Consider the following 12,624-nt stretch of genomic DNA (forward strand, 5'->3'; position numbering starts at 1 on the left):
CAAATCACCTGAGGTCGGGAGTTTGAGACCAGCCTGCCCAACATGGAGAAACCCTGTCTCTACTAAAAAATAGAAAATTTAGCTGGGTGTGGTGGCACATGCCTGTAATCCCAGCTACTCGGAAGGCTGAGGTAGGAGAATTGCTTGAACCCAGCAGATGGAGGTTGCAGTGAGCCCAGATCATGCCATTGCACTCTAGTCTGGGCAGCAAGAGCGAAACTCTGTCTCAAAAAAAAAAAAAAAAAAAAAAAAACGTTGAATGAACTCTCTGTAATAAACAAAGACAGCTAGTGCAGAGTTGGTGCTACAGGAAGAAGGTCTTCCACATTCTGACCTTTAAGGATCCCCAAGTTTAATTTAATGGATCCCCAACTTTTTGTCTGCTCACCTAAAGCAATTGGCTAAAACAAATTACTTAGAATTCTGTACTTAGCCAAACTATCAGTTAAGTGTGAGGATACAATTAAGACATTTCCAGCTATGCAGGAATTTGAAAATATATCCTCATACCCTGTTTCTTAGGAGGTTACCTGAGGTAGTATATCAAAGGAATGAGGAAGTAATCAAAAAAAGGGGGGAGGCATGGGATTCAGGCAACATCAGATTTAATCCAGGAGAGTATTGAAGTCCCAAGATTACAATGAATAGCACACCTAGGAAGCAGTTAGTCCAGATAGGAGTGAAATAACAGAGGGCTTTAAATAGGAACAATCTGGGAGACATCTGCAAGATGGTAGACTAGGAAGCTCCAGGCCCTTGTTACCCCATGGAGACACTGAATTAACAACCATATACAGACCAGAATATCACTGTGAGAACTCTAGAGCCGAATTAAGAAGCTTCAGTGCCCAGGCCAATGCCTAACCAAGAACATAGTCTATCAAAAGTGCTAGGAAAGTTTGTGGCATTTTGCATGCCCATGTCCCTCTCCCTCCCCAGCAAAGCATGGTTCAACCAGGAAAAAACCTCCCATACCTTGGCTCTTCCCTTGGGCCAGAAACAAAAGAGTGGACCATGCATGCAATGTACTGACTTGTCTGGGGGCTGCCTGGCCACCCACCTCGACCTCCCAAGGTGCTGGGATTACAGGCGTGAGCCACCACACCTGTCCTGGAGTGGGAGGCTGAGATGGGAGTATCACCTGAGGTCGGGAGTTCGAGGCCAGCTCAGCCAACATGGTGAGACCCCATCTCTACTAAAAATATAAACATTAGCTGGGTGTGGTGGTGCATGCCTGCAGTCTCAGCTACTTGGGCACAAGAATTGCTTGAACCCAGAAGGTGGAGGTTGCAGTGAGCCAAAATCATGCCACTGCACTCCAGCTTGGGCAACAGAGCAAGACTCTGTCTCAAAAAACAAAACAAGTTATGGGTATACAGTATATAAAGATCTAACTTTTAAGACATTGATAATATAAATTGCAGTGGAGTAGTAAAGAAGTAGAGGTTTTTGTATGCAACTGAAGTTGTTAAACTAGATTGTTATAACTTTAAGACATGTTATGTGATCTCATTGGTAACTTCAAGTAAGATATCTATAGAATATAACCAAAAGGAAATGGGAAAGAAATCAAAGCATGTCACTACAAAAAAAATCAATGAAAAATGAAGGAAGGCAGTAACAAAGGAAAGGAGGCCTGAAAAGGCTACAAGACGTATAGGAAATAATTAATATGGCCATAGTAAGTTCTTCCCTGTCAGTAATTATTTTAAATGCAAATAGATTAAAGTCCCCAATTAAAAGACAGAGATTAGCTGAATGGACTAAAAACCAGGATCCAACTATATGCCATCTACAAGAGTCCCACTTTATATCTTTTCAAATACCAAACTCTTGTGGCCAGGTGCAATGGCTCACGCCTGTAATTCCAGCACTTTGGGAGACCAATGTAGAAGGATTGCTTGAAGTCAGGAGTTCAGGACCAGCCTAGACAACATAGAAAGACTCTTGTCTCTAAAAAAGTTTTTTACTTAGTAGGCATAGTAACACACACCTGTTGTCCCAGCTACTGTGGAGGTTGAGGTGGGAGGATCCCGTGAGCCCAGGAGTTCTAGGCTGCAGTAGGCTATCATAGTGCCACTGCACTCCAGTTGGGTGACATAGCAAGACCCTGTCTCTAAAAAAAAAAAAAAGAAATAAAGATTTGCTGAAAGTGAAAGGATGAGAAAAGATATTCCTCACAACTGGTAATCCAAAGAGAGCAAGGGTGGCTATACTAATATAAGACAAAAAGACTTTAAGTCAAAAACTGTTACAAGTGGCAAAGAAGGACATTATATAATAAAAGGGTCAATTCACCAAGGAGGTATAACAATTACAAATATATATGCACTAAACATCAGACTTCCTAAATATATAAAGCAAACACTGACAGAATTGAAAGAAGAAATAGACAACACAATAATAGTAGGAGATTCAGTACCCCACTTTCAATAATGGAGAAAATAACCAGACAGAAAATCAATAAGGAAACAGAGCACTTGAACAATACTATAGGCCACTTAACCATAGACATACACAGAACATTCCACCCAACAACAGCAGAACACACATTCTTCTCAAGTGTACGTGGAATTTTCTCCAGATAGACCACATGTTGGGCCACAAAACAAGACTTAAACAAAATGTAAAAACATCAATATTATACTAAGTATCTTCCAATCACAATGGGATGAAACTAGAAATCAATAGCAGAATGAAATCTGGAAAACCCACAAATATGTGGCAACTAAACAACACACAACAATGGTTCAGAGAAAAAAAATCTCATGGGAAATTTTAAAATACTCCGGGACAAATTAAAATGGAAATATGACATACGAAAACTTATGGATGCAGCAAAAGCAGCACTAAGAAGTACAGATGTAAATAAATGCTTGCACTGAAAAAGAAAGATCTCAAACCAACAACCTGAGTATATCTAAAGTAGGAAAAGAAGAAACTGAACCCAAAGTTAGCAGAGGAAGGTAATAGTAAAGATTAGAGCAGAGATAAATGGAGAATAGGGAAAAAATGAACAAAACTAAGATATGGGGTTTTTAAACATTTCATTTGTTTGTTTTGAGGCAGAGTCTCACTCTGTCACCCAGGCTGGAGCTCAGTAGCACAATTATCGCTTACTGAAACCTTGAACTTCTGGGCTCAAGCTGTCCTCCAGCCTCAGCCTCTCAAGTAGCTGGGAAAACAAGCATGCGTCACCATACTCAGCTAATTTTTTATTATTTTTTGTCGAGGTGGGAATCTAGCTAAGTTGCCCAGGCTGGTCTTGAACTCTTGGCCTCAAGTGATTCTCCCACCTTTGCCTCCCAGAGTACTAGGATTACAGACATGAGCCACTGCACCCAGCCACAGAGTTGGGTTTTTGAAAAGAACAAAACTGACAAACTCTTAACTAGATTAAAAAAGAGAGAAGATTCAAATTACTAAAATCAGCATTGATAGCTCAGTGATAGAATTTTTAAAAATTACTAAAATCTGAAATGAAAGAGGGGGCATTACAACCAGTGCCACAGAAATAAAAAGGATTATAAGAGAATACTACCAACAATTATACCCCCAATAAACTGGATAACCTAGAATAAATGGAGTAATTCCTAGAAACCTACCAAGATTGACTCATGAAGAAATAAAAAATCTGAACAGAACAATAACTAGTAAGGAGATAGAATCAGTAATCAAAAACCTTTCAACAAAAAAGCCTAGAACAAGGTGGCTTCACTAGTAAATTTGGCCAAACATTTAAATAAAAATTAACACCAATCCTCCTCAGACTTTTGCAAAAAACCGGAGAGATAACTTATTTCAGCTTATTCTGTGAGGCCAGCATTACCCTGTGATATGGTTTGGCCGTGTCCCCACCCAAATCTCATCTTGAATTGTAGCTCCCATAATTCCCACGTGTTATGGGAGGGACCTGGTGGGAGGTAATTGAATCATTGGGGCGGGTTTTCCTGTGCTGTTCTCATAATAGTGAATAAATCTCATGAGATCTGATGGTTTTATAAAGGGGAGTTCCCCTACACAAGCTCTCTTGCCTACTGACATGTAAGATGTGACTTTGCTCCTCATTCGCCTTTTGCCATGATTGTGAGGCCTCCCCAGCCATGTGGAACTGTAAGGCAACTAAACCTCTTTCCATTATAAATTACCCAGTCTAGGGTATGTCTTTATTAGTAGCGTGATACACCCTGATACCAAAGCCAGATCAAAAAAACTACAAGCAGCTGGGTGCAGTGGCTCATGCCTGCAATCCCAGCACTTTGGGAGGCCAAGGTGGGCGGATTGCTTGAGGCCAGGAGTTCAAGACCAGCATGACCAACATGATGAAACCCCATCTCTGCTAAAGATAACAAAAATTAACCGAGTATGGTGGCATGCACCTGAAATCTCAACTACTGAGGAGGCTGAGGCAGGAGAATCACCTGAACCCGGGAGGCAGGGGTTGCAGTGAGGCAAGATGGTGCCACTGCACTCCAACCTGGGCGATAGAGCGAGACTCTGTCTCAAAAAAAAAAAAAAAGGAAAAGTAAAAAACTACAATAAAACTGCCAACCAATATACCTAATAAATGTTGATGAAGAAATCCTCAACAAAATACTAACAAACTAAAATTCAACAGCACATTAAAAGGATATGCAGTCATCCCTTGGTTGACTACATGGGGGGACTGGTTCCAGGACCTCCCTTGGATACCAAAATTTGCAGATGTTCAAATCCCATATAACCTATGCACATCCTCTTATATACTTCAAATCATCTGTAGATTACTTATGATACCTAATACAATGTAAATTATATATAAATAGTTGTTATACTGCATTGTTTAAGGAATGATGACAAGAAGAAACATTTGTACATATTCAGTGTAGATGTAAATTTTTTTTCAATTATTTTCAAATCTCAGTTGGTTGAATCCATGGATGCAGAACCCACAGATACAGAGAGCCAACTGTAAACCATGAACATGTGGGATTTATTCCTGGATGGTTTAACATATGAAAGTAAATGTGATACACCATATTACAGAATGAAGGAGAAAAAACACACAATCACCTCAATTAATGCAGAAAACACATTTGACAAAATTCAACACCCTTTCTTGATAAAGACACTCAAACTAGAAATAAAAGAAAACTACCTCAACATAATAAGGGCCATATGTGAAAAGCCCACAGTTGGCATCATACTGAATGGTGAAAAACTGAAAGATTTTCCTCTAAGATCAGATGTGCCTGCTCTTGCCACTTCTATTCAACATAGTACCTCAAGACCTAGACAGAGCAGTTAGTCAAGAAAAAGAAATAAAGGGCATCCAAATTAGAAAGGGAGAAGTAAAATATCTTTGTTCACAGGTGACATGATCTTATATGTAGAAAATCCTAAAATTCCACCAAAAAAAAAACTAGTAAATGAAATAATAAGTGAATTCAGCAAAACAGCAGTATATAAAACCAGCTCACAAAACTCAGTTGCATTTTTGTTAAACCAACAATGAAAAATCTGAAAAGGAAATAACACAATTTCATTTACAATATCATCAAAAAGAATAAAATACTCAGGCATAAACCTAACCAAGGAGGTGAAAGATTTGTATACTGAAAACTACAAAATGTTGTGGAAAGAAATTAGACACCAATAAATGGTAAGGCTTCCTATATTCATGGAGTGGAAGACTTAATATGGTTAAGATGTCAGTACTACCCAAAGTGATCTACAGGTTCAACACAATTCCCATCAAAATCCCAACAGCATTTCTTTTTTTTTGTAGAAATAGAAAATTCCATCCTAAATTTCATGTTGAATCCCAAGAGACACCAACTTTTAGTCTTTCAGAAGTTGATGTCTTTAGCCGGGCATGATGGTGGGCACCTGTAATCTCAGCTACCCAGGAGGCTGAGTCCAGAGAATTGCTTGAACTCGGGAGGCAGAGGTTGCAGTGAGCTGAGATCACGCCACTGCATTCCAGTGTGGGTGACAGAGTGAGACTCTGTCTTTAAAAAAAAAAAAAAAAAAAGTTGGTATCTTGCAAAGGACACCAAATAGCCAAAGCAATTTTTTTTTTTTTTTTTTTGAGACAGAGTTCAGCTCTTATTGCCCAGGCTACAGTGTGATGGCGCAATCTCAGCTCACTACAACCTCCGCCTCCTGGGTTTAAGCGATGCCTCAGCTTCCCAAGTAGCTGGTATTACAGGCATGCGCCACCATGCCCGGCTAATTTTGTATTTTTAATAGAGACGGGTTTCTCCATGTTGATCAGGCTGGTCTCGAACTCCCGACCTCAGATGATCCGCCCGCCTCGGCCTCCCGAAGTGCTGGGATTACAGGCGTGAGCCACCATGCCCGGCCAGTCAAAGCAATCTTGAAATAAAAAGAACAAAGTTGGAGTTCTCACACTTCTTGACTGTAAAATATAAAGCTACAGTACTCAAAACAGTGTGGTACAAGAAAGAAGATAGACATATGGACTAGAGAGCCCAGAAATAAACCTTTGGGTACATGGTCAAGTGATCTTCATTAAGGGTGCTAAGACGACTCAGTGGTGAAAAGACAGTCTCTGAATGTCATAGGAAAAAGTGGATATCCACTTGCAAAAGAATGAAGTTGGACTCTGAACATATAAAAATTAACTTAAAATGCATTAAAGACCTGAATATAAGACCCAAATCTATAAAATTCATTGAAGAAAGCATGGGGCAAAGCTTCATGACATTGGATTTGGCAATTGATTTCTTGAATATTACACCATAAACACAGGCAGCAAAAACAAAAATAGACAAATAATACTGCATCAAACTTCAGAACTTCTGTGCATCAACAGAGTGAGCAATAAAAATAGAAAATACCAAATAGAGTGAAAAGGCAGCTTATGGGATGGGAGAAAATAGTTATAAATCATATATCTGATGAGGGTTAATATCCAGAATATATAAAGAACTCCAGCTCCCTCTCCCTCTCCCTCTCCCTCTCATGCGGAGCCGAAGCTGGACTGTACTGCTGCCATCTCGGCTCACTGCAACCTCCCTGCCTGATTCTCCTGCCTCAGCCTGCCGAGTGCCTGCGATTGCAGGCACGCGCCACCACGCCTGACTGGTTTTGGTGGAGACGGGGTTTCGCTGTGTTGGCCGGGCCGGTCTCCAGCCCCTAACCGCGAGTGATCTGCCAACCTCGGCCTCCCGAGGTGCCGGGATTGCAGATGGAGTCTCGTTCACTCAGTGCTCAATGGTGCCCAGGCTGGAGTGCAGTGGCGTGATCTCGGCTCACTACAACCTACACCTCCCAGCCGCCTGCCTTGGCCTCCCAAAGTGCCGAGATTGCAGCCTCTGCCCGGCCGCCACCCCGTCTGGGAAGTGAGGAGTGTCTCTGCCTGGCCGCCCATCGTCTGGGATGTGAGGAGCCCCTCTGCCTGGCTGCCCAGTCTGGAAAGTGAGGAGCGTCTCCGCCCGGCCGCCATCCCATCTAGGAAGTGAGGAGCGCCTCTTCCCAGCCGCCATCCATCTAGGAAGTGAGGAGCGTCTCTGCCCGGCTGCCCATTGTCTGAGATGTGGGGAGCGCCTCTGCCCCGCCGCCCCATCTGGGATGTGAGGAGCGCCTCTGCCTGGCCGAGACCCCGTCTGGGAGGTGACGAGCGTCTCTGCCCGGCCGCCCCGTCTGAGAAGTGAGGAGACCCTCTGCCTGGCAACCACCCCGTCTGAGAAGTGAGGAGCCCCTCCGCCCGGCAGCTGCCCCGTCTGAGAAGTGAGGAGCCTCTCCGCCCGGCAGCCACCCCATCTGGGAAGTGAGGAGCGTCTCCGCCCGGCAGCCACCCCGTCCGGGAGGGAGGTGGGGGGTCAGCCCCGACGCCCGGCCAGCCGTGCCATCCAGGAGGGGGGGGGGGTCAGCCCCCCGCCTGGCCAGCCGTGCCGTCCGGGAGGGAGGTGGGGGGTCAGCCCCCCGCCCGGCCAGCCGCCCCGTCTGGGAGGTGAGGGGCGCCTCTGCCCGGCCGCCCCTACTGGGAAGTGAGGAGCCCCTCAGCCCGGCCAGCCACCCCGTCCGGGAGGGAGGTGGGGGGTCAGCCCCGACGCCCGGCCAGCCGTGCCATCCGGGGGGGGGGTCAGCCCCCGCCTGGCCAGCCGTGCCGTCCGGGAGGGAGGTGGGGGGGTCAGCCCCCGCCCGGCCAGCCGCCCCGTCTGGGAGGTGAGGGGCGCCTCTGCCCGGCCGCCCCTACTGGGAAGTGAGGAGCCCCTCAGCCCGGCCAGCCACCCCGTCTGGGAGGGAGGTGGGGGGGTCAGCCCCCCGCCTGGCCAGCCGCCCCGTCCGGGAGGGAGGTGGGGGGGTCAGCCCTCCGCCCGGCCAACCCCCCCGTCTGGGAGGTGAGGGGCGCCTCTGCCCGGCTGCCCCTACTGGGAAGTGAGGAGCCCCTCTGCCCGGCCAGCCGCCCCGTCCGGGAGGGAGGTGGGGGGGTCAGCCCCCCGCCCGGCCAGCCGCCCCGTCCGGGAGGGAGGTGAGGGGGTCAGCCCCCCACCCGGCCAGCCGCCCCGTCCGGGAGGGAGGTGGGGGCGTCAGCCCCCCGCCCGGCCAGCCGCCCCGTCCGGGAGGGAGGTGGGGGGGGTCAGCCCCCCTGCCCGGCCAGCCGCCCCGTCCGGGAGGTGAGGGGCGCTTCTGCCCGGCCGCCCCTACTGGGAAGTGAGGAGCCCCTCTGCCCGGCCAGCCGCCCCATCCGGGAGGGAGGTGGGGGGGTCAGCCCCCCGCCCGGCCAGCCGCCCCGTCCGGGAGGGAGGTTGGGGGGGGTCAGCCCCCCCGCCCGGCCAGCCGCTCCGTCCGGGAGGTGAGGGGCGCCTCTGCCCGGCCGCCCCTACTGGGAAGTGAGGAGCCCCTCTGCCCGGCCAGCCGCCCCGTCCGGGAGGGAGGTGGGGGCGTCAGCCCCCTGCCCGGCCAGCCGCCCCGTCCGGGAGGTGAGGGGCGCCTCTGCCCGGCCGCCCCTACTGGGAAGTGAGGAGCCCCTCTGCCCGGCCAGCCGCCCCGTCCGGGAGGGAGGTGGGGGGGTCAGCCCCCCGTCCGGCCAGCCGCCCCATCCGGGAGGTGAGGGGCACCTCTGCCCAGCCGCCCCTACTGGGAAGTGAGGAGCCCCTCTGCCCGACCACCACCCCGTCTGGGAGGTGTGCCCAACAGCTCATTGAGAACGGGCCAGGATGACAATGGCGGCTTTGTGGAATAGAAAGGCGGGAAAGGTGGGGAAAAGATTGAGAAATCGGATGGTTGCCGTGTCTGTGTAGAAAGAAGTAGACATGGGAGAGTTTTCATTTTGTTCTGCACTAAGAAAAATTCCTCTGCCTTGGGATCCTGTTGATCTGTGACCTTACCCCCAACCCTGTGCTCTCTGAAACATGTGCTGTGTCCACTCAGGGTTAAAAGGATTAAGGGCGGTGCAAGATGTGCTTTGTTAAACAGATGCTTGAAGGCAGCATGCTCGTTAAGAGTCATCACCAATCCCTAATCTCAAGTAATCAGGGACACAAACACTGCGGAGGCCGCAGGGTCCTCTGCCTAGGAAAACCAGAGACCTTTGTTCACTTGTTTATCTGCTGACCTTCCCTCCACTGTTGTCCCATGACCCTGCCAAATCCCCCTCTGTGAGAAACACCCAAGAATTATCAATAAAAAAATAAATTAAAAAAAAAAAATAATAAAGAACTCCAGCAACTCAACAACAAATGAATAACCCAATTTAAAAATGGGCAGAGGACTTATATAGACATTTCTCCAAAGATGATATGGAAATGGCCAACAAACTTCTGAAAAGATACTCAATATAACTAGTTATTAGAGGTATGCAAATCAAAACCACAATGCAATGTCACCTCATACCAATTAGAATGGCCACTATTTTTTAAAAAAACAAAAAATAAGTGTGGGCAAGAATTTGGAGAAATTAGAACCTTTGTGCACTCTTGGGATTGTAAAGTGGTGCAACTGCTATGGAAAACAGTGAGGGAGTGTGAAATGGGAAGTTGTTCAATGGATATAGAGTTTCAGTTTTGCAAGATTAAAAGTTCTGGGGCTCTTTTACAGGACTGTGAATATACTTAACACTACTGAACTGTACACTTAAAAATGTTTACTTTAGTAAATTTAATGATAATGTGGTTTTTGTAACAATTGTTTTTTTGAGACAGAGTCTTGCTCTGTTGCCCAGGCTGGAGTGCAGTGGTGTGATCTCAGCTCACTTCAAGCTCTGCCTCCTGGGTTCACACCATGCTCCTGCCTCAGCCTCCCGAGTAGCTGGGACTACAGGCGCCCGCCACCACGCCCGGCTAATTTTTTGTATTTTTAGTAGAGACGGGGTTTCACTGTGTTAGCCAGGATGGTCGTGATCTCCTGACCTCATGATCCACCTGCCTCGGCCTCCCAAAGTGCTGGGATTACAGGTTGTAAGCCACCACGCCTGGCCTTTATCACAATTTTTAAACTTTTGTTAAAAGAAAACAGACAATAATAAACATTGCCAAGAATGTGGAGAACATAAGTCTCATAAATTGCTGATGAGAATATAAATAGTACAGGCACTCTGGAAAATGGTTTGACAGTTTCTTTAAAAGTTGAACATAAATTTATTTGCCCTATCTATTCCAATTCTAGATATAGACCCAACAAAAATGAAAACCTGTCAGCCAAAGACATACATTCAAATGTTCAAAGCAGTGTTATACATAATAGCCAAAATGTGGAAATAACCCAAATGTCCATCAGCTGGTGAATGGATGAACAAAATGAAATACTATTTAGTAATTAAAAGCAATGAGCTGGGCCAAGATGGCAGTGCAGGTGGTGCAGGCGGTGCAGGCAGTTCATCTAGAGTCTGACACTTTCCTTGTTTGTCTCAACCATGCTCTGAGCACAGAGAAGGAGGAAGTGATGGGGCTGTGGATAGGGGAGTTGAACAATGATACAAGGAGTGACTCCAAATTTGCATATACTGGAACTGAAATGCGCACAGTTGCTGAAAAGGTTGATGCCATCAGAATTGTTCACATTCGTTCTGTCATCATCTTAACGACGTTCTGATAAGAGGAAGGACCAAGTAGAAATTTCACCAGGGCAGCTGTCTGCAGCTTCAACAGAGGCAGAGAAGTTGGCTGAACTGACAGGCCACCCCATGAGAGTTGTGGGCTGGTATCATTCCCATCCTCATATAACTGTTTGGCCTTCACATGTTGATGTTCGCACCCAAGCCATGTACCAGATGATGGATCAAGGCTTTGTAGGACTTATTTTTTCCTGTTTCATAGAAGATAAGAACACAAGGGCTGGCCGGGTACTCTACACTTGCTTCCAATCCATACAGGCCCAAAAGAGTTCAGAGTCCCTTCATGGTCCACAAGACTTCTGGAGCTCCAGCCAGCACATCTCCATTGAGGGCCAGAAGGAAGAGGAAAGGTATGAGAGAATCGAAATCCCAATCCATATTGTACCTCATGTCACTATCGGGAAAGCGTGCCTTGAATCAGCAGTAGAGCTGCCCAAGATCCTGTGCCAGGAGGAGCAGGATGCATATTGGAGGATCCACAGCCTTACACATCTGGACTCATAACCAAGATCCATAATGGCTCAGTGTTTACCAAGAATCTGTGCAGTCAGATGTCAGCAGTCAGCGGGCCTCTTCTACAGTGGTTGGAGGACAGACTGGAGCAAAACCAATAGCATTTGCAGGAATTGCAACAAGAAAAGGAAGAGCTTATGCAAGAACTTTCTTCTCTGGAATAAAGCAGGAGACAAAATGGAGAAAGATGAAAATATCCAGTGTAAAGTTACTTAAGCTAAATCAATTTTGAAGAAGAAAAACTTGGAGGACTCACATTACCTGACTTCAAGACTTACTATAAAGCTGTAGTAATCAAGATAGATGGTATTGGCAGAGGAACAGACACATAGATCAATGGAACAGATGAGAGAACCCAGAAATAAACCCATATAAATATGCTCAACTGATTTTGAAAAAGTGCAAAAGCAATTCAATGGAGGAAGAATAGCCTTTCTGACAAATTATGCTGGAGCAATTAGACACCCATAGCAAGGAGAAAAAAGAACCTCTACTTAAACCTCACATCTTATATAAAATTTAATTCAAAATGTATAATGGACTTAAATGCAATACATAAAACTATACAACTTTGAAAAAAGCCACAGGAGAAAAATCTTCAGGATCTTGGGCTAGGTGACAAGTTCTTGGACTTTGCCCCAAAAGCATATCCGTAAAAGATAAAAACTGGTATATTGGACTTCTTCAAAATTTAAAAACTTGTGATTTAAGAAGAGGAAAAGATAAACTACAGATTGAAATGAATTTGCAAACCATATATCTGATCAATTTGGAATATTTAAAGTGTGCTAAAAACTCAACTGAAGTCAGGCATGGTAGCTCATGCTTGTAATCTCACCACTTTGGGAGGCCAAGATGGGAGGAGTGCTTGAGGTTAGGGGTTCCAGACCAGCCTGGCAACATAGTGAGACTCTGTCTCTACAAAAAAATTTTTTTAAAAAATTAGCTGGGCACCATGACACACACCAGTAGTCCCAGCTACTAGGGAGGCAGGAGGATCACTTGAGCCCAGGAGTTTGAGGCTGCGGTGAGCTATGATCACACCACCA

The 12,624-nt window shown here is 46.2% G+C and overlaps 1 protein-coding gene and 1 pseudogene across 7 annotated transcripts in view; both read left to right on the plus strand.

Moving 5' to 3' along the window:
* The window catches only part of SIMC1 (SUMO interacting motifs containing 1), a 107,566-nt gene that overhangs the window by 58,851 nt on the left and 36,091 nt on the right, over positions 1-12,624 (plus strand). The window lies entirely within an intron of this gene.
* BRCC3P1 (BRCA1/BRCA2-containing complex subunit 3 pseudogene 1) lies at positions 10,781-11,936 on the plus strand (annotated as a pseudogene).

This window comes from Homo sapiens, chromosome 5 (genome assembly GCF_000001405.40).
Source record: "Homo sapiens chromosome 5, GRCh38.p14 Primary Assembly".
Taxonomy (NCBI): Eukaryota; Metazoa; Chordata; class Mammalia; order Primates; family Hominidae; genus Homo; species Homo sapiens.